The following is a 23,463-nucleotide window of genomic DNA, read 5'->3' on the forward strand; positions in this document are numbered from 1 at the left end:
TTATCTGTAGTTTCCGTAGTTTCAGTTAACAAAGGTTAACCAAATATTTGTGTCCTGAGAACGAGAGACCATATTCACATAACTTCTATTACACTGAACAATATATTTTTATAATTGTTCTATTTTATGATTGTTTTTAATCTCTTACTGTGCCTAATTCATGAATTAAACTATCACAGGTATGCATGCATGTGAAAAAACACAGTATACATAGGGTCCAGTACTATCCATGGTTTCAGGTATGCACTGGGGGTCTTCAAACACATCCCTCACCAGTAAGGGGAGACACTACTGTACACAAATAAAGGAAAGATACACAGATTATTTATTGCACATGTCCCCAATCCCCTGCTACCTTACCAACTCTTTCCATGCCAATTCCACAGTGAAAAAAGAACACAAACTGGTAGAGGCCAGGGTGTGATGGCTCACACCTGTAACACTAGCACTTTGGGAGGCCAAGGCAGGCAGATCACCTAAGGTCAGGAGTTTGAGACCAGCCTGGCCAACATGGTGAAACCCTGCCTCTACCATGAATACAAAAATTGGCGGGGTGTGGTGGTGCATGCCTGTAATCCAAGCTACTCGGGTGGCTGAGGCAGGAGGATCGCTTGAACCTGGGAGGCGGAGGTTCCAGTGAGCCAAGATTATGCCACTGCACTCCAGCCTGGGCGACAGAGCAAGACTCTGTCTCAAAAAAAAACCAAAAGAACATCAACTGATAGATCCTGCATGATTTCAGCCATCCTAATCTATATTATACTAATCTAACGGTCAGTCAGTGGAATAACAAGTTACAGATACTCTACTCTTTCTTTCCCCTGACCACCCCCAACCCTGGAGTCAGGGTTTTACTCTGCCCCAGGCTGGAGTGCAGTGGCCTGATCACAGCTCACTGCAGCCTCCACATTGCCCAGATCAGGTAAACCTCCTGCCTTGGCTTCTCAAGTAGCTGGGACTACTGGCAAACGTTACCACTCCCGGCTAACTTTTGTATTTTTTTTGTAGTGACAGAGTTTTGCCATGTTGCCCAGGCTGGTCTCAAATTCCTGAGCTCAAACAATCCATCTTCCTCAGACTTCCAAAGTCCTGGGACTACAGGCATAAGCCAGCCTAGCTGCTTATTTTTTTTTTTTTTAATGGAGAAAACATACCAAACTCTTTAACAGAAGCTTTCTTGGAGATGTAAAACTAAGTGTCTAAGATTTTTTTCTACATTTTTAGTTTTTAAAAAAGTTTTGCTTTTATTAAAAATAAAATCTTTGGCCAGCCATGGTGGCTCACACCTGTAATCCCAGCACTTTGGGAGGCCAAGGCAGGCGGACTGCTTGAGGTCAGGAGTTCAAGATCAGCCTGACCAACATGGTGAAACGCCATCTCTACTAAAAATACAAAAATTGGCTGGGCATGGTGGCAGACACCTGTAATCCCAGCTACTCGGAAGGCTGAGACAGGAGAATCGCTTGAACCCGAGAGGTGGAGGTTGCAGTGAGCTGAGATCATGTCACTGCACTCCAGCCTGGGCAACAGAGCAAGAGTCTGTCTCTAAATAAATAAATAATAAATAAATAAATAAATAAATAATAAATTTTAAAAGGTGATGCCACTTCAAAACAGCACCAAATTACAACTGAAAGTCTCAAAAAATGTCATTGTATTGTCAATTTGGTCTATTAAATATTTATCTTGGCCAAGCATTCAATATCACTTAATATGCTGATATTACATTTGTCCAAAATTTTAGGACTAAAGAAAAACGTGATAGGTCTATTTATTTATAAGCTTTGTTCTTTCTACTAAGAATTTAGCTCACTATTCATAATTAATCAGCTGAAAATAACAAAGCAAAGGGGAACTAAAGAAACATCAAAAACACTCCAAACTTCAAAATGTTAGCTAAGCAAACAGATGAAGTCCCTCCTCTCCAGGGAGCATCAGGGAACCTAACATTAACTGTTGGCTTCTGCTACTCTGTGGAGGCCAAGAAGCAAAGAATACTGGGGGTTGAAGACGGACAGGAAACTGCCTATCTTCCCCCACTCCATTTCCTAATTAAGTTCTATAAGCTGGAAGAGTTTCAATGCCCCAAGATGTATATGTAAAAATAGGAGAAGTTGGGAAAATGAAGTACGGCCTAACTTGAATATTTATGGCAATGAGGGCAGGTAAGGCAGCATCAACAGCTCAAAATTATAGATAATGGAGGCCCATTTTGGTTAAGATCTTGAACACGGTATCCTTCCCCAAGTAAATATGACCAACACTTATTCTGTCTCAACAATAAGTCAGAAAATAGGCTATAGTCTGAATTCTACCACTAGGGACCTTGGACAAATTTTTATGGAACTCAATGGCTAGATCCTTCTGGGTTCTAAAAACTAACATTCCTCCTCTATATTTGACAAAAACATTTAGAAAGAGATCATAAAGCTTCAGATAGTGGAAGAATCAGAGGTACAACAGAAAGCTTAAGTAATTTGCTCTTGAACAAGTTACTTTAAAAATTGCTCTCAAATTAAGAGTAGGCCGGGCACAGTGGCTCACACCTGCAATCCCAGCACTTTGGGAGGCCAAGGCGAGTGGATCACCTGAGGTCAGGAGTTCGAAACCAGCCTGGCCAACATGGTGAAACGCCGTCTCTACTAAAAATACAAAAATTAGCTGGGTGTGGTGGCGGGCGCCTGTGATCCCACCTACTCAGGAGGCTGAGGCAGGGGAATCCTTGAACCAGGAAGGCGGAGGTTGCGGTGAGCCAAGATTTGCACTCCAGCCTGGGGGACTACAGCAAAATTTCATCTCAAAAAAAAAAGAAAAGTAGCTGTCTCTCTCTTTGTAAGTATACCACGCCTATTCTGTGACAGTGGCTAGGCAAGTAAAGAGTTTTCCTTACCATTTCAACACACAAAACACAATGAATAAAATAAAACTTACACTGTAAAAACAACACACCTGAATATATAATACATGAAAATAATAAACACAATTTTCTTCTCTACCACTGATTCTAAGAAATAAAAGAAATCCAAAAACCACTTTCACTGCCATATTCTCAATCCTTAGTGACACTCAACATTTCGATCTAAAAAGGAAGGCCAGATCTTAATTCATAAGCATATAATTTTGGTAACTAAAATGTGTGAAGAATCCAAAAGATGTATGTTACCCATTTCATTTCAATTTTTTTCTCTCCAATAAACCTTTATCAAGTTACCAATCATTACATTAAAATGTCCTGCTTCTCCTCTAGGAACAGGAATAAGCATCGAAGAAGCAAAACAGAAGCCACAGAGGAGAAAAGAGAATCGAGCTGAACAGACCAAAAGAAAAACCTAGCTGTGGCTGAGACTCCCACTAACCACTTACCTTTCAAGTACAGGGGGTATTACCAATTCAGGTCTCATGAGTGCAAGATTCTGCAAAGCCTGGGCTGCTTCTAGACTACCGGTTTTGCTAAACATAGCCAAGAGGACAGGCTGAATAATGCATTGTACAAAGTCTGTAACATCTTGATCAGTAAGCTTGTGGCTATCAGGCACAGGAGTTAACCAAGAGGGCTTCTTGTATCTTTCACGATGCAATCTTCTAACAACACTGTTTGGCAACCGCTGAAGTAGTTTCATTAACTTGTTCTGGGGACACAGAAGCAAAAAGTTCTAAGTAGGTTCTACTTTGCCGCATAGACATTCATGGTTGCTCTCTAGCTTCTTGAGAAAAGATTTTAAAAATAACAGTTCTTATTATCTTATTACAAAGAACTGCACAGCATAACTAGATAGAATTAAAAGTTACCAATTAATTATTCCTAATAATTAATGAAAATGAGTTTCAAATTCCAGTCTAAAAAAATTTCTAGCACATAATTTTCCATTACATGAAAGCCATTTTAACTGGACAACTTAAAAACAACAAAAACAGATGACAGGATAAAACTGAAAAGATGGTTCTATGCTTCTAAGGCATTTTTGTTACCATTTTTTTGCAAAAATGAGCCATGTTGTCAACAGTTACCACATCAATATTATTTATTTAATTTATATGCTCTCCCACACAGTAATTTAATTTAAATGTAAGCATTTACATATAGCTAAAGCTATGAAGGACAGAAAATGTATTACAGGTCACACAATAGGCAATAGTCAAGGATGACCATATCTTTAAAAATTCCAAGCCCTATAATGCAAAACGAAGTTACTCACCAGCCAGCGCCCATTATTTGAAGGATGGTAAAAAGATGTGATGCTGTTAAACAAACCAGCTAAGTGTTTTTGCACTAGCTTACTTGGTCCACCCTGTCCAGATAAAAGAGTAAAAATGTCAGTACCCACATCATACTGTAAAAACAGAGGTCAACAGGCCCAAGCCTATACGTAAATCACTAATACAGTTTATAGTCAACTTGCTGACAAAAATAAATTCTACCTTTAAATAAGAGTCAAAAACAATTCCCTGATGAACTTCATGCAAACCAACTCAAAATATTCTACTGCAAATAAGGGCAGCTTACTTGAACCAACATAAAAAACTAAAAAAATACCTGTCAACTTAGGATAACAAACAGCGTACTTTACTGTTCTGCAGTAAATAACCTGGATACTAAAATTTATCACTAAGATTATCATCTTAAAATTACCAAGAATGCTAACATCAGGCATAAAAAACCTGATGTAAGGCTGAGGCGGGCAGGTCACTTGAGGTCAGGAGTTCGAGACCAGCCTTGCCAACATGGTGAAACCCTGTCTCTACTAGAAATACAAAAATTAGCTGGGCATGGTGGTGGGCGCCTATAGTCCCAACTACTCGGGAGGCTGTGGCAGGAGAATCACTTGAACCCGGGAGGTGGAGGTTGCAGTGAGCTGAAATCACGCTACTGCACTCCAGCCTGGGCGATAGAGCGAGACCATCTCAAAAAAAAAAAAAAAAAAAAAAAAAAAAGCGTTTCCCTCTGTTGTCCAGGGTGGAGTGCAGTGGCACAAACATGGTTCACTGCAGCCTCAATCTCCTAGGCTCAAGCGATCCTCCCACCTCAGCCTGCTGAGGAGCTAATACCATAGGCATGTGTTATCATGCCCGTGCTTACTTTTACTTTTGTTTTCTTGTACAGGGTCTCGCCATGTGGCCCAGGCTGGTCTCAAACTCCTGGGCTCAAGCTATCCTTCCATCTCGGCTTCCCAAAGTGCTAGGATTACAGATGTGAGCCATGGCACTCAGCCATATTTTCACACTTAACACAAAATGAAGTTGCCAATGAGAACTGTGTGAGAAAGCAGAGCAAAATTCACTCACACAATAACTAATACTAATCACTATCCAATTCTGTAGCCCCCAAAAATCCAGTTTCAACTCACTGCATATGTAAGATAGTAAACATCTTTCAGTGTTTGCTCCTACTGATTAAGAAAAATGGGATTTTTCTGTGTAACAATAAAATGGCAAAAACAAGGGGGGGCTTAAATTTGTTTTTCTTACAATGAAGTTTAAGAAGTAAACTTTTAAACAAAAAAAAATTGTCTTTTCCACAGAAACAAGCTAACGTGTAAAACAGAATAATAATTCATGAAGAAATAGCTGCAGAAGCAATATATGAATGATAAACTAGATAATTATAATAGGAAGCTGTTCTAATATTCTTATATGAAAGATGACATTGAAATCTAAGCTTGATATGTCTTCACTTTCCTTTAATGATGTCAACAAAGTAATCCTTCACATCTCTCCCTTCACTAAGATTACTTTGTTAGTAAGCTTTATGTTCAATGCAATGTTTTATGTGAATATTAACAGTGAGTAAGTAATGGAGTCTAAGCACATACAAATCCTGAGTTGTAATCCTACCTTGGGAAAGTCTTCCGGGCTACAAGTCTGGTTCCCGGACAGTAAAAATGTTAGACATCGTGAATCCCTCAAAACCCTAGATTTTTGACTCTATTTATAATGTCCATTGGTTAGGGAGATTTAGAAATGGTACCACTATATTCTGGATTTGATAAACATGAGCTTGCTAAATCAGAAAATATCCAAGAATCAAGTCACCAACCAAGCCACTATTATCAACTTCTGCGACTATCCACAATTTTTGTAAGGTTAACACAAAATAGGCGTAAACTACAGAAAACAAATATAATGTATTACAAACCATCATGGCGGTGATCCATATTACAGCATGTCCTATATCATAAGCATTTGTTAAAAATCTTGGGACTAACACTTGACTGCTTCCCACTGGGAGGTTCAAGCTTCTCAGAATTCTTGTAAATATCTTTTAAAAGAAAAAAATAAGTAAGGATATTTACAGGTATCAAAATAATTCTTTAGCTTAGTAAGTGCTGTATATTAGTGTTACTGAAGATATTTTCATTTTATCACAAGGGTTTTTAAGTGAAATTACATAGTATTTAGTAACTTGCTTTATTCTTCAAAAATTACATATAAATATCAACAGATGTGCTGTATGACACTCTGAGGTCAGAGGCACATGGACATAAAGCAGTTGTGTCCATGTATCCAAAGAACAGACAAATGTGATTATTTATGGCTAAATATAAAAAGACAAAAACATACTGTGGCTAAACATGAAATATTTTGACTTCTTTCTTGTCCCAAATGCACAAATAATTTTTCCTGAGCTCCTATTCCATGTCAAGCATGCACAACAGCACCAACCTAAATGCAAGTATCTTCTAGCAGAATGCTTTCCCTTTCAAAATTTTAATGGTGATTTGATTTTTCCCTAAGAATTTGTATTTTAGTCAATCACTTAACAATTATAATAAAATTAAATTTATATTCCAACTCTATCATTACCAATAGGTAGCGGCCCAAAGGTGGGGAGAAATGATTTCTCTTCCACAATTAGTTTCTAATGGCCAAACAACACAGGAAGACACCACAAGCAAAAGCAAACAGAGCATCTGCATCCAGCTACTCCCCAGCTTTGCTCTAATGTAAGTGTGTGCATCAGAATCACCAGGATATCCCCCACAAGCCCTACTCAAGCTCCACAGGTTATTCTACCACAGGTGAAATAGTACTGAAGACACACCTGGAACATCTAGCTTTATTTACTCTAAGAAAATATATACTGTGATCTAAAAAGTGGGCAGCACTGTAGAGGAGCAACCAAATACGGTACACAAAATCCATTGGAAGGTACAAATGTATGATGCTCTCGATAATATACTTAGTACTTTCCAAATTACTTTGACACTGATAGTTCATACCCTGCACAAGAAAACACATTTATGATACCTTAATATGGTCTAATTACCTTTTGAAAAGGTAATTGGACCCAGCCCTGTAAATTATTTATATATGTTTTTACTAATGATCAAAGAAAATTTTATGTGCCACTTGGAATTGGCATAGAAAAAACGTTTCTCCTTTACAACATAAAATTGTTGTTGGTGCTATCGTATTTATGTTCAAAATGTTTTTTTTTTTTTCCAGATGGAGTCAAGCTCTGTCACCCAGGCTGGAGTGCAGTACTGCAATCTTGGCTCACTGCAACCTCAGCCTCCTGGGTTCAAGAGATTCTCCTGCCTCAGCCACCCGAGCAGCTGGGATTACAGGCGCCTACCACCCCATGCCTGATAATTTTTTTCCCCAAAATGTTAATTACCTTTGGTACATATGGATCCCAATCTATGTACCCTATATTATCTGTAGCCAATCGAGCAAAGAGATTTACTAGTTGCTGAAAGTAAACAAAAAGGACAAAGTTAATATATTTGTTGTTATTGTTTAAGTGTCATAGTCACACCCCTCCTCCATTTGTTCTTTTTGGCAATCATTAGTGCAATCTACTTAAATAGATAGTTTATGACTTTGTTTTTTTTAAAACCTCCAAATTTAAATTGATTCATGTCACGCATTTAAAATCAGTTGCAGTTAAAATGCTTCTAAAAAGAAAAATGACAAAGCACCATCCACAATGAATATAGAAAAGGAAATTTTAATCCAACAAATATGCTGAAAATATCCACTATATGTCCAGCAGCATGATAGTACAGGTACCAAAGAAAACAATGGGATCTTACATTTCATGCATTTTACAATACATGCTTATACTCCTAAATATTGATAAAACCAAAATAAATGCATACTTTTGTTAGAATACAACAAATAATATAAAATTGAAAAGAAACTGATCATAACATGGCTAACAGCCAATCCTAAGGAACTTCAAGTTACTTACCAAATGATCTATTAATATTTATCTCCAAATTAAAAAAGTATGGGGGGGAAAAAAGAAAAAAAAAACTATAGGGGGGAAGAAAGGGAAAAAGGGATACTTACCCCCTCCCATTGTGGGAGATTTTGCACTGAAACCCAAAGGCCAATTAATTCATCAAACCAAAGTCTAAAGAAGAAAAATGTTGTTATGAATAGCAAGTGATTTTAAAGTGGTTCAATGCCAGCTATGCTTTGTCTTTTTTATAATCTATTATTCTTACTGATAACTACGTTAACTAGAAAAAACAATACTGAAGTTATAAACTTAATAAAACAAAGGGGTATTTCTTGTCTGAATATTCCTTTCCTAATTTATTTAAGAAATATGATCTCACAGATTAAACTTCTGCTTCATTACTAAGTACTGTCCATTCTTATTTAACAATTGTTTTCAATTTTCTACCTCCTTTTCCCTGCCCTTCTCCTTTTATCTGTTTTCCTGTTATTACCCCTTCTGACAATTTTTTCTTTCTCTTAATTTCTTAAAGCCCTCATCTTATTTGGGTGTCATCTCTTTACTTTCAATCTTACAACCGTTTTAGCCTTAACACACTTCAAGTATAATAAACTTGAAGTACAATAATGGCTGAACTTGCAAAATGATTTTTCTAGTTGTTATTGTTTTACTAGTTTCTTTATCTGTATTTCCTACCGTATTTTTAGAATTTGTCAAGATATGAACATACTTACTTAAAACCTTTATGATGAAGTTCTGGAGGAAGGGAGGTAGGAAGAAATATTTCAAAATAAGTGATGGCCTTTTGCATGGTTACATCAAAAGGGCACATTAAAGGTCGCCATTCTTCTAGCATCTCAGCGGTGGCATCTGCTGGAAAATATCTAATAAAAAAAGAAGGTTTTCATGTATCTGATTATTGGCTAAAAGCTCTACAACAGCAATATATATAACTGACCAAAAGGCTGGGGGAGGAGGAGAATATATGTCATAGCATGTAACACAGTCTACAAATGTCCAAACTAACACACATTTTCACAATACTAAAATAAATGCCCCAGTTGGGTGCAGTAGTTCATGCCTGTAATTCCAGAACTTTGGGAAGCTGAGGTCGATGGATCACTTGAGCCCAGGAGTTCAAGATTGGCTTGGGCAAAATGGCAAAACCCAGTCTTTACAAAAAATTTGCCAGACATGATGGCGGCGCACATCTGTAGTCCCAGCTACTCAGAAAGCTGGGGTTGGGGGATCATTAGAGCCCAGGAGATGGAGGTTGCAGTGAGCCAAGACTGCACCATTGCACTCCAGCCTGGGCAACAGAGTGAGACTCCATCTCAAAAAAAAAAAAAAATTCCCCATCATACTTGGGATAAAGTAAATTCTTCTCTTGTCTAAGGGAATTTTTCTAAACACTATGAAGTTGATAAAACTCAGATAAAATACAAGTCACTCAGTTACCTATAAAATTAAACAGAGTTTTTGTCTTACTTCCTTTGTGCTATGTAACAATTAAAAAAAAATCTTGTCAAAAAGAATCCAGTCTAAACAGGAAAAGGATTACCAGTAGACGAGAAAGAGAACATCAGTCCAGCAATCTCTAGGCATGTTGAATAAACCATTTACCTTCCTTGGAACACAGAGTCCTCCCCTATACGAGAAGACTAGATGATCTGGTCTACAGGCTGTGATATTCCATAACTGTATGATATGGACAGGAGTGTCCCTGGACAAAATTAAAATCCAAAGTGTGCATATACACACAAAATGAAGGTAAATAAAGAGGATACATGTAAAACTGCTAAATACACCTTAATGGGCTTTTTTTTTTTTTTTTTAAAGACAAGAGTCTCACTGTGTTTCCTAGGCTGGACCCAAACTCTTAAACTGAAGTGATCCTCCCACCTCAGCCTCCCAAGTAGCTGCTACTACAGGAGAGCACCACCGCACCCAGCCTTAAGAGGTTTAAAATACAAACAGCATATGAAAAATTCTGATTCTTTCCAAATAAGTTGGGAAACTCTTTCAAATAGACTTATAGGCTTGGCCCACACAGCATATTATTAATCCTACTATATCTTCATATACTTGTGTTAATTAAAATCATACTGCAATCTTCTATGTGAAAAATAAAATTATATTTCTAAGAATACTTCTGTTGAGTTCACAAAGCGTTTATGTGTCAGGTCCTTGTGTAACAGGTTGGAATTTTAAAAAAACAAAAACAAACTATGCTCCACCTTCAAAGATCTCACATATCAAGGATCAATTCTCCTTCTTAAGTTTTCTGATTCAATTGTTAACCCTGTAATCCAAAATAAAAACTTGGGAGTTCTATGAATTACCTATGAGCCAGTAAGTATTGAAGTGATAATCAAGTTTCCAGTGAGGAAACACAGGCCAAGAAGGTAACTGCCTCGCATAAAATGACACTGTTCATTGGTGGCTTATGACTCAGGGTGAACCTTAAGTTGCTTGAGAGACAGATATCTCATATTCCGAAAATACATTTGCCCAACATTGAGTAATACAGAAGGTCAGCAATAAATATCCGATTTATTAAATATGTATTTAAGATGAGTATTACAAGCATATAATACATGGCTTTTCACCAAAAAGGAGTCACTGATTCCATATCATCTAAACAGTCTTAGAATAACTTGATAACAACACAAAAAAAGTTCAAGTACGTAAAATTGAGCTTTAATTAATTAAAATTAAAGATAACCAAAAAAATTAAAATTAAATTTTATCCACACTCATCTTTGATCATATGAATATAGGATAATTGGCTGGGAGTGGTGGCTCACACCTATAATCCCAATGCTTTGGGAGGCCAAGGTGGGAGGACTGCTTGAGGCCAGGGGTTCAAGACCAGCCCGGGCAATACAGCAAGGCCCCACTCTCTACAAAAAATATTGAAATAAAAAGAAAAGAATATGGGATATTTAAATATTCTACAGAACATAGTTGAAAAAAGTTATGAACCACCTTCTTGGCATTACTCCTATTTTTTGTCTGAATAACAAATAACAATACTCTAGGAAATGCTTCCAAATAAAGATGATTTTATGTAAAGTATGGTATTCTTACTTTACAATGGATGACTTTAAAATTTCTAAATTTCTAAATGAAATCTGAGAAGTTCAGTTAATGAACTGGAAACGGTATGTTGTGCTCAGTGACTAACATCACAATGTCAGGAACTATTTATACTTTTCATTTCCTTTTCAAACCATACTAAAGATGTGGAAAAGCCCACAGAAACAACAAGAGGCTTTATAAATTGAGAAGCTACTTACGGTCGGCAGCTTTTCACGAGTGTTTTGAGAATATTTTCTACAGAACTGGGGGGGGAAAGCCATTTGATAATTAGATTGGTGTATTTTAAGAACATATCTAATTCAATTAATAAATATCTATAAGATAACCTCACACATTCAGGTATTATTTGTTTACATGTAATAATTGAGCCTTCCCTTTCATACAAACGGAACTGCAAGGATTAACTACCTAAACTCCTTAATCTACTCTTTCCTTTGCCCTCATTTCGCTGTCTCTGGTATGAACTAAAGGGAAAAAAAGGTTACACTGGGAAAAGAACAAATTGTTTTCAGTCTTTACAAGGTAGGCAGCAATGACCACACACCATATTTATCAACACAGTGGCTTAAAACTTCAAATAATTTTTACTAAAATACTTTTACATCAAAACACAAGCAGCAGACAGACCAAAATCTGGGTGTTTCCATCAGAAATTAGCTTTCACAACCAATTGATGAGAGTTCGATAACCCTCCCAGGCACTTTAAGGCCAGCAACAATTATCAAAAAGAACAATAGCATCTCTTTGAGCAGATACTTATAAAGTTAGTCGAGTAACATTAAAAATTATAACTTACTTTACAACATGTAGTTGCCTCAAGTGAATACAGGAGACCAACATAAAAATGTGTGTATGAATTTATAATCCACATTTCTTTTTTAATAAAAAGGCCAATGTGTACTGGTTTAAACACGTGACCAGAATGGAATATTTAAATATTTACTAGATCATAGTCAAGCGGTCAAATGCAAACAAACAATATAAACAATGGAGCACTAGATAATTTTGAGCTGGAATTTTAAAATACGTGTGTGACTACTTACAGTATGATATGTACAAGTAAAAATAAAATTCCCCAAATCTCAAAAAAATTTATATATATATAATATATATTTAAATATATATAATACATATTTAAATATATATAATACATATTTAAATATATATATAATACATATATAAATATATATATACATATATATATATATATATATATATATATATATATATATATATATATATGAAAGGAGTAAGTTTCAGGCAATGTCTCCACCTGACACTTTCTTATTAAGCTTTTTGAAATTCTTAAGTCCAGAAGTCTATCCAACTTCTCTGAAAGTTTAGGAACTAATCTGCAAAGAAATTCCAAGGAATAACAGAGAGCAAACTCATCACAAATAATCAACATATTATATAACCAAGAGAGGAAAACTATAATCTCATTACTTGGAGCAGTAGAAATCCTCTTTAATTTCAAAACTACTCAGAGAAAAATTAACTGAAGAGGCAACTAGATTACAACACATGAGATGACTTCTAAAATAAAAAAGAAACTACATGGCCAAAAGGCCATCAATAAGCACTGTCTCTGATCATGAGAGGGAGGTTCTTCTTTTTCTTATGAAAAGGCTAAGCAATTCAAAAACACAGTTTAGAGAAAATCTAAGTTTGCCCATTAAAAAAAAACAGGGCAAACTTCTATCCAACTACGTTTAAAGCTCCCTGAAGACCACAGCTATGATTTTTATTTCTGGGCACTTCCAAAGTGCTTATAAAAAGGCTATCTGCTCATATATATTTATACTTATCTGTCTATTGATTTGTAATAATAAACATTTTATATCAGAGTAACAAAAAGCACAGATCTTGGGTCTTCTTTTAGTAACAAAGTATAGAATTAACAGCTAAGGTTTAAAGAGTCATCTAGTTTTAAACTAAATTACTCAATTTAAATGAAGATTTTTAAAAGGTAATTCTAAAATTGTAAACTGTTTATCCATGAAAATGAGCATAAGATACATAATTCTATCAGTACTAATGCTTGTGTTCTCATTAATATTACATTTATTTTATTGGTTCTGCGCTACACAGAAAACCTGCTGTTTTCACATACGACCTTGCTATACCAATATACTTTCGCATAATGTCATAAACGATTCTAGAAAGCAAGTCATAAAAGGCTGCAAAGCTACATGTTTTCTTCAGTTCCCTTCACGCTTCAGAAGAATAGGAAGTTAATTATAACACTTGATAGAGTCACTTCACTTATTAGAGGATTAGGGTATGTGGGAATGCAATTTAGTTACTCTAAATAAAGTCAATTTCAACCCCTTCTTAAATATAAGGCCTGTACCATTGGATTTATGATGTTTATCCAGAAAAGGGTACAATCTCTCTAACCTGTGATATCTGTATAGTGACCTTTTGTGATTCTTGTAATCTCTCAAGATGAAGGGAACAATGTTTCTGTTTAAAAATAAAATAAAAGGTTAAGGCTAGATGCTACTAGACTACATTTCACTAATTTTTAGAGGGAGTGAATAATCACTAAATACTTTCCAACTGTTGGAAATGTATAATACTAAAGTGATAACAATTCAAAACACTTGTTTTTTTTTTTAAAATCAAAAGGGATCTACAGAGTAACTAAGCTTTGGATGGGTTTTCTTATACCCTATTTCCTCTTTAAAAAGATACATCAGGTTGAAAAAGAAAGCCACAGTAGTGCATATAATGGTTTACAGTTTGGCCTTAGAGTCAGACAGATCTTAATTTGAGTATCAGTTCTGCTACTTCCTAGTTATATTATAGCTGTTTTCTCATCAATATAAGCAATAATACCTACCTCTCATAAAGCTGTTACAAAAATTAAATGAGATAAGGTATAGAAAGCAGGTATACGGCCCAGAATTAAGGATAATAAATGTTAATTATTATTTCATACTTAGCCATAATAAATTGTATTCTCAATTTCCTTAAGAATTAAACTTTTGTGCTTATTTTGCTCTTACTGCCTCTGAGTAGCTACTAATTTATGATTTAGGAAATCACATCAAAATAGGAAATTCCTCCCCAACTGCCACCCTATTATTAAGGGTAAAAAGAGAGTTCTTGTCCCAGTTCTTAAGCTCTTGTTCCAGTTTCAACCAATGATTCTGTGTGAATTTTCCTCTCTGGACCTCGATTTCCTTATGATGCCATTAACAAAGTAAATGTCAAATACTAACAGATAAGCCTGAGGAAAACCAATAGTCTTCGCCTCCAGTTACTGAGACAGTGAACCATATAAACTTGCAGATTTATGCCTCCTGCCCCCTTGGCTCTACCAGGACAATATTCACTTCTAAACCAGGGAAAAGTATAGCAAATGATATATTCAAGATGAGAGTAAACTAGGCTGCTCATAGCCAGAAGTACTTGCAGCTTCACTTGACAGTTCTTGAACTAAAATTTAACTTCAGAATAATATTTGCTTTTTCATAAATGAACTGGTTTTAACTGTAATGATGGACTATTCTGTATATATCTGCCTTCATCCCTTTATAATTTAATGGTAACTGTTTATACAGTATTTCTTTTTCTTAAACCTGTGCCAGGCACTTCATCTAGAAGTCAGTTATACTTGCCTTCTCTACACCCAAACAAATCCACCGTAAGTTAGTTAGACATTATCCATCTCATATCTTATCTTCAAAATCTAATATTGATTGCTCAGTTAAACTAGTAAGTAGTCATTTTTCATTGCCACTTCACTCAAAATTAGGGCCAAGATAATTTCACCATAAAGAAAGGTATAAATACGCCAGGTGCAGTGGCTCATGCCTGTAATCCCAGCATTTTGGGAAGCCGAGGCGGGTGGATCACGTGAGGTCCAGAGTTCAAGACCAGCCTGGCCAACATGATGAAACCCCATCTCTACTAAAAATACAAAAAATTAGCTGGGTGTGGTGGCGCACACCTGTAATCCCAGCTACTCAGGAGACTGAGGCAGAAGAATCGCTTGAACTCGGGAGGCGGAGGTTGCGGTGAGTCCAGATTGTGCCACTGCACTCCAGCCTGGGCAACAACAGCAAAAAAAACTCCATCTCAAAAAAAAAAAAAAAAAAAAAGGTATAAATAATAAGTATAGCATTTTCCTTGCTGATGCACATTAACATTGACTTTTCATTAAAATTACTTTTAAAAAGTATACTTTTAGGGCAAGGGTTAGGAAATTATAATAATCCTTACCACTCATGTAAAAAGAGCATACATAATTGTTTTAAATGACAATAAGCCTGATCAACTTGAACTAAGTATTTTTTAAAATTGCTTTTAAAAGATCAGTTTTTAAAGAAAGAACACTGTAGCACAGAAACAACTTTTGTGAGAAACACTATCAAAATCATTAATAAAATCTGGTAAATTTTTTTTTTTTGAGATGGGTGTCTGGCTCTGTAGCCCAGGCTGGAGTGCAGTGGGATGATCTTGGCTCATTGCAGCCTCTGCCTCCCAGGTTCCAGTGATTCTCCTGCCTCAGCCTCCTGGGTAGCTGGGATTACAGGCATGCGCCATCACACCAGGCTAATTTTTGTGTTTTTAGTAGAGATGGGGGTTTCACCATGTTGGCCAGGCTGGTCTCAAACTCCCGACCTCAGATGATCCATCTACCTCAGCTTCCCAAAGTGCTAGGATTACAGGTGTGGGCTACCATGCCCAGCCGAATTTTGTTAAAATTTTAAATTTCCAAATAAAAGAATATTTTTTAAATAAATAGGATGTTCTCCAAATACTACATTAAAAAATAATTGTAAATATCATATTAATAATCGTGGTTTACAACCATAAAATCTTTTAAATTTCAACAAGTTTTAGGAGAAATTTTTCTCACCATTTGATTATCATATTAAATTTTGTAATTACATATCATCCATGAGCTGCTGGTAGTAATTTAAACTCCTAAGCATGGCCACATGTGCCAAGAAACCCCAAACAGAGGTCTGGAAAATGTCATTTCCATGTGGTGAGTGTGGGGAGCTGAGGACAAAGGATTTAACTGTATCTTAAAGAGCACCAATTCAAATAGCTCTTTAATAAATCAATAGAGAAACAAATGCCATAAACAAATACCAGAAAAATAAAATATCAAATTGGTTCTCCAGAGGCAGATTAATATGAAAAAAATGAAAATATAATACTATATGATACCCTTAGAACAATACATGTAAAAGAGAATAGATACTTTTAAAAATAAATTTTAAAAAGTAGTAAACAAGTTATGTAGGCCCAAGCTACTCATGATGCAAATATGAAAACCTTTACTACCACCCACAAAAACCAAATTAGTGGTAATACTAAATAAACAAATTTATACACATAGCAACTGAAATATGAATTGTTTGTGCCCATTTGTAAAAGCATACCTATGCATAATTCTCCCATATTTTGTTAGTAGCAACACCATTAGTATGTTGCCTATACTATAACTTGCAATATGCTACTCAAAGTAAGTGTATGGGACATTGTTTTATAAAATAAAACCATGTCCATAAGATTCAAAAGCTTCATTTATAAAGTAAATAATAATTCTTATATCGCTAACAATTAGTTCACACTCATCTCCTTTCCAATTTTACTTCTTCTATTGAATAAAAAACACTACCAATTCTTTCTCCAGTAGAAAGTAGACTGAGATGAGGATAAAGAGACTAAAAAGGGTCTTTTGTCCTAGAGGCAAAAAGACAGACAGAAAGCTAGAAGGAGGAAGGAAGAGAAGAAAAGAGGGAAACAAGGATAGGAAAGGGGATGAAGAGAGGATGGGAAAGGTAAAGAGGAAGGGAAGAGAGGAAAGTTGATAATCTTTGCTTCAAACAATAGAACTAGCTTTTAAAATCATGTTGAAACACATGCCGCTCTAAGCAGTGATTTCAATAAGGACTAAAACATAAGGCACATGAGTTTAAAATTTGAAAGACAGTTAACAAATTAAGCAATCTTTCACTTTTGATTATAAAAATAGCATTCTAAAAATAGTATGAACACATGTAGTCAGCTGACAAAACTGTTTCAAAATGTGGCAGAATATATCTAAGAAGAAAAAACTCAAAATTGTCACAGTGTAGGTAATGAGTATAGGTAGGTTATATGATTTATAAATTTTATTTTAGAATAATTACAATTACAAAATGAAATGCTGAGTCTGTTAAGAGTTGAGAGTCAGTGCTGTGTTTCAGTCACAACGTCTCTTCAAAAGATCAAGAACAGCCATGGTAAAACTTTTAAGGACAAGGATGATGTGACACTTTAGGAAGAGACATGGTAAACATAATCAATAAGCACTGACTGACCAATACTAATAGAAAATTTCCAGACAAACAGCTCTTATCACTGAAGAGGAAAGCCATAGATACTTATTAATGACCACAAAGGACTTTAAAAGCAGCATGTGCCTTTGCAAAGGTAGACCCTTAAGGCAGGAAAGTAGGACGCTTGGTTATGAAGCAGCAAGAAGGCATACTGAAGAACAGGGTATCACTGAAGAAACCGCCTTACCTCCTCCTTTCATTTACAAAATACTTTCAGAAGCAGCCAAAATTATCAGCAAGAAACATCTCAGAAGGATAACTGATCTGAACACAGTTCAAAGGTCCCTGAGATCTATGAAATAGTGAAGCCTGTCTATGGCCATACCACCCTGAATGTGCCCAATCTCATCTGAAATGGTGAAGCCAGTAAGAAATTCCCTGACCTCTTATTTAAAGAAGACTCAGTCAAACCAGTATAGGTCATGGTCCCTGTGGCAAAAATAACACCCAAAAGGAATATTTACAATCAAAGCTTTTGTATTCAATTTTGAGTTTTCTTAAAAAATACTGGGGCCAGGTGTAGTGGCCCATGCCTGTAATCCCAGCACTTTGGGAGGCCAAGGCGGGAGGATCACTTGAGCCCAGGAGTTCAAGACCAGGCTGGGCAACACAGTGAGACCCTGTGTAGAGACCCTGTCTCTACAAATAAAAAATTTTAAAAATTAGCCAGGCATGGTGGCACACGCCTGTGGTCCCACCTTCTCAGGAGGCTGAGGCGGGAAGACTGCTTGAGCCCAGGAGGTCAAGGCTGTGGTGATGCAAGATCTTGCCACTGCACTCCAGCCTAGGCAACAGAGCAACCCTGAAAAAGGAAGGAAGGAAGGAAGGAAGGGAGAGAGGAAGGGAGGGAGGGAGGAAAACCTAACAAATATTGGTAAAAGCATACTTGCACAATGCACTATTCTATTTCGTGATAAAATTTGCTATTTTTATGGTTGAAATGAGTTTCCTTGTTTTAACACATGAAACTTTCAAGAAATAAATGACTTCTAACCACCTTACTTGTGCAAAACTGTCCAAAAACCAATTAGGACCTAAGTTGAAGATCATGTTTTACCTCTTCCACTTACACCATTTCACATTTGCCATCTGCACTCATTTTCAAAAAATTCTATGGTAAGGGACAAAGACTGTTGACCTAAGTAAAGGCTGAGGGTTAATCATAGATTAAATGAATTTAACAAGACATAATGAAATAATGTAGACATGCCTAAGACTGAGAGAGAAAACTGCAGAAGTCTTTAAAGACTTAATTTATAAAAAAGAAAAAGGAAATTAATACAGGCATAGAGAATGGTGCTCTTCAAGAAATGAGTACACAGGCTGGGGGTGGTGGCTCACGCCTGTAATCCCAGCACTTTGGGAGGCTGAGGCAGGGGGATCACGAGGTCAGGAGATAGAGACCATCTTGGCTAACATGGTGAAACACCGTCTCTACTAAAAACACAAAAAAATTAGCCGGGCGTGGTGGTGGGCACCTGTAGTCCCAGCTACTCGGGAGGCTGAGGCAGGAGAACGGCATGAACCCTGGAGGTGGAGCTTGCAGTGAGCTGAGATCGCACCACTGCACTCCAGCCTGGGCGACAGAGCGAGACTCCATCTCAAAACAAAACAAACAAAAACACTGAAGAGGCCAGGCGTGGTGGCTCATGCCTATAATCCCAGGACTTTGGGAGGCCAAGGCAGGCAGATCACCTGAGGTCAGGAGTTCGAGACCAGCCTGGCCAACATGGCGAAACCCCATCTCTACTAAAAATACAAACATTAGCTGGGTATGGTGGTGCATGCCTGTAATCCCAGCTGCTCGGGAGGCTGAGGAACGCGAATCACTTGAACCCGGGAAGTGGAGGTTGCAGTGAGCTGAGATCACACCACTGCACTCCAGCCTGAGCGTCAGAGTGAGACACCATCTCAGAAAAAAAAGAATGATAAGCCAAACGTGCTAAAACTGAGAAAATTTAAAGCTAGACCACAACTGGACAGAAATGATACCTGTCAGTCTAGTATGAAATCACTATTAACCAAAAAAGGGCAGATGATATTTTATTATATAAACTCAGAATAAAATATAAAACCAAAAATTAGCTATCAAAGAGGCAGGATGTAGGTGCAAGAAGTCAATGATCTGCAAGAGAGATGCAGCCTCAGATACAGTTTATAGAGGGCAATGAATTGTTTCAGGAGTCAAATTACACAGAAATAGGCACATTAAAATATCTGCTTGTTTCTTTCAAACAACTCAATATTTTTCAATCATGATCACCCCCCTAAAAAACCCCAAGTACTCCCAAATAAGTGCTTTAAATGGAAATACTTACTTAGGAAACCAATTTAATCCTAGGTGCTCTGTCTTGGAATATAATATTCTTTCTACCATGTCATAAAGTGGTCTCCAGGGTAACTCCAAATCAGCTCTTGAAAGAAGTTCCTTTTTCCTAAAAAGTAAAATAAAATAAATACCTATGTATGCATATGTGCACAGATGTGTGTATACCACAAATACTACACAGGGACAGTTAAACATTGCTGCTCATCACCATGGGTTTTGCTTTCCCCATCCATGGCCACTCACTAGCAGAACATAGTATTAAGAAGAATAATGCACCCAATTCTTGCTGCTGCTCAAACCTCAAAGAGCAGCAGATAAAAGAGGGCATTTAAATTTGTGTCGCCATTATTGTGGATGAATTTCATGTTTTCCCACACTATGGAATATTTAATGTTTCCAGCATTGAGTTGGATGCTTCAGGGTAAGCAAAAGAATCCATGATCTTTGTCTTGTCTTCTCAAGGGACTTAACAACCTATAAAAGGGGAAGTTCAATGGGTGCTAGAGAAGAGACCATGTCATGGAAGAGATGGAATTTTAACTAAAAGGTTAACTGACACATTTGATGAAAATTAAGATAATGTTTTTTGCAATCATTTTCCAAATTGGCAATTTGAGACTTGGTCTTCTTACCAAAAACACTTAGTCCTCATTCCCTAAAACCCTGAAGAAACAAACAAACCTTAACAGAAACCTCTGGAAAAAGACTTACTTTAACAAGTTGATCAAAAGGCGGGCAAATCCCTGCATCATGCTGATTTCCAGTTTTGGAATTGATACCAGCTCATACAATAACTTAATAAAAAGAACATGATCTTCTTTGCTAAATTTTCTCCCATAAAGTCGAATATATCTGCAAGAGAAAAATAGATATACCCTTTAAAAATAGGTATGATGACACATCCATGTTCAATGCAGCATTATCCATAGAAGCCAAGATGTAGATGCAACCTGAATGGCCACAGAAGGATGAATGGATAAGGAAAATGTGGCATATACAACACAATGGATTATTGTCTTTTTTTTTTTTTTTTAACATTTCATGGAAAACTTTTTATTGGTTTTCTGGATAGAAACAGGAATTTATTTGCCAGGAAGAATGATCCCATCATACTTCAGCTAGAACCAGTGATGAGGATGATTCAGTCTTAAAAAAGAAGGAAATCCAGTCATAAGCTACAGCATGTATGAATGTTAAGTGAAATACGCCAGTCACAAAAGACAAATACTGTGTAGGTATCCAAAGTAATCAAACTCATAGAAACAGAAAGTAGAATACTTGCTGCCAGGGGTTGCAAGGACCAGGAAATGGAGAGCTGTTATTCAATGGGTATAGTTTCAGTCAAGTAAAATAAAAGAAGTTGTACAACAATGTATATATGGTTAACAATACTGTATTGTACAGTTAAAAATTAAGATAAACTTGATACTTATTTTTAATGACAATTTTTAAAAATAGGTGTGGTAACAATTTCAAATGTCTTTGATGGTTAACTATTTTATATCTATTCTCACTATTATGCAGTAAAAAATTGTTCTGTACTTCAATTGAGACATAACCAGGCCAGGCAAAGTAGTTCATGCCTGTAATCCCTGCACTTTGAGAGGCTAAAGCAGGAGGATCACTTGAACCCAGGAGTTCAAGACCAGCCTGGGCAACGTAGCAAAACCCAGTCTCTACAACAAATACAAAATATTAGCCAGGCATGATGGCGTGCGCCTGTGGTCCCAGTTACTCGGGTCGGGGGCTGAGGTGGGAGGATCACTGGAGCCCAGGAAGTCAAGGGGGCAGTGAGCTGGGATGGCGCCACTATGCTCCATCTAGCCTAGGCGACAGAGTGAGATCTTGTCTTCCAAAAAAAAAAAAAGGAGATTGCCAAATAAGTATCTTATGGTAACTGAGTTATCATCAATATCTAATGACCAATTAAAACACTGCTCTCTTATTGTAAACAAGTTACATAACTTGTACTATTTGTTTCTAACAGTTAACTTATAATTACAATACAATTAGGTTATACCAAAAATAATTTAATATTTTATCCAAAATTACATTTTTAATTTCTAACTATAAACAATGTAATCAAAAGCATTAACTTTAAGCAAATTTAAGAAAAAGGTGTCCCAATGGCCAGGCACAGTGGCTCACGCCTATAATCCCAGCACTTTGGGAGGCCGACGTGGGTGGATTACCTGAGGTCAGGAGTTTGAGACCAGCCTGACCAACATGGAGAAACCCCGTCTCTACTAAAAACACAAAATTAGCCAGGCGTGGTGGCACATGCCTGTAATCCCAGCTACTAGGGAGGCTGAGGCAGGAGAATTGCTTGAACCTGGGAGGCGGAGGTTGCGGTGAGCCAAGAGTGTGCCGTTGCACTCCAGCCTGGGCAACAAGAGAGAAACTCCGTCTCAAAAAAAAAAAAAAAAGAAAAGAAAAAGGTGTCCCAAAACCCAAGAACAACAAATCAGAGTATATTTAAGAATTCAGAAGTAACTGATCCAAATAAATTACTGTAGACTTAAAATCATAAAACCCCTGGAGGAGGGTCATTTTATTAAATATGTAAGTCAACGGGAAAAAGAGCATTAGTATTCCTCGTAAGATCTTTAACACTCCCCCAGTACCTGAGATCAAATAAAACTTACATTTAACTTCTTTTTTTTCCCCCCAAGACACAGTCTTGCTCTGTCACCCAGGCTGGAGTGCAGTGGCCTGATCTCAGCTCACCGCAACCTCTGCCTCCTGGATTCAAGCAATTCTCCTGCCTCAGCCTCCCCAGTAGCTGGGATTACAGGCGCCCAACACCACGCCCGGCTAATTTTTGTAATTTTAGTAGAGATGGGGTTTCACCATGTTGGCCAGGCTGGTCTCAAACTCCTGACCTTGAGATCCCCCCTGCCTTGGCCTCCCAAAGTGCTGGGATTATAGGCGTGAGCCACTGCGCCCAGCACTTACATTTAATTTCTAAAGTTAGGGCATCTAACTGCTTTTTTATCTTCCAGAAATTCTTCAAAATTCTTGGTTCATTAACTCATTTTTATTTTCTCAAGCTGGTCTGAATTTATTCAGCTCTTTTCTGTCATTTCAAGGTATAATCCCATGATCTCACATTAGTACTATGAGACCAGCAAATATAGAGGGAGGAGCAATGAGACGTGAGATCTTGTTTTGGTTCTGCCAGTACAGGTTGAATACCTTTAATCCGAAAATCCGAAACCCTCCAAAATCCAAAACTTTTTGAGCAACAACATGACACTCAAAGGAAATGCTCATGGAGTTTTCCAATTTCTAATTTTTGGATTTGAGATGCTCAATCGGTAAGAACATAATGCAGATATTATAAAACCTCAAAAAATCCAAAATCCTAAACATTTCTGGTCCCAGAATTTCAAATAAGGGATACTCAAAATAATTATTATGAAAGTTTCTTAAACACCCTAAAATGGTAACGCACGTAGATTAGTGAAGACAAAAGATCCTACACCCAAATATATTATTATTTT

General features: G+C 36.8%; 1 protein-coding gene across 1 annotated transcript in view; it reads right to left on the reverse strand.

Moving 5' to 3' along the window:
• PSME4 (proteasome activator subunit 4) overlaps positions 1–23,463 on the reverse strand; it is a 106,925-nt gene that overhangs the window by 64,403 nt on the left and 19,059 nt on the right. Inside the window, exons 2-10 of the mRNA NM_014614.3 lie at positions 20,672–20,812; positions 19,950–20,066; positions 11,485–11,529; positions 8,920–9,069; positions 8,293–8,356; positions 7,616–7,690; positions 6,134–6,256; positions 4,197–4,289; positions 3,364–3,629 (exon numbers count right to left, since the gene is read on the reverse strand). Of these exons, the coding sequence (NP_055429.2) occupies positions 3,364–3,629; positions 4,197–4,289; positions 6,134–6,256; positions 7,616–7,690; positions 8,293–8,356; positions 8,920–9,069; positions 11,485–11,529; positions 19,950–20,066; positions 20,672–20,812 (1,074 nt within the window). The remainder of the gene's footprint in view (positions 1–3,363; positions 3,630–4,196; positions 4,290–6,133; positions 6,257–7,615; positions 7,691–8,292; positions 8,357–8,919; positions 9,070–11,484; positions 11,530–19,949; positions 20,067–20,671; positions 20,813–23,463) is intronic.

This window comes from Homo sapiens, chromosome 2, assembly GCF_000001405.40.
Source record: "Homo sapiens chromosome 2, GRCh38.p14 Primary Assembly".
NCBI classification, from domain to species: domain Eukaryota; kingdom Metazoa; phylum Chordata; class Mammalia; order Primates; family Hominidae; genus Homo; species Homo sapiens.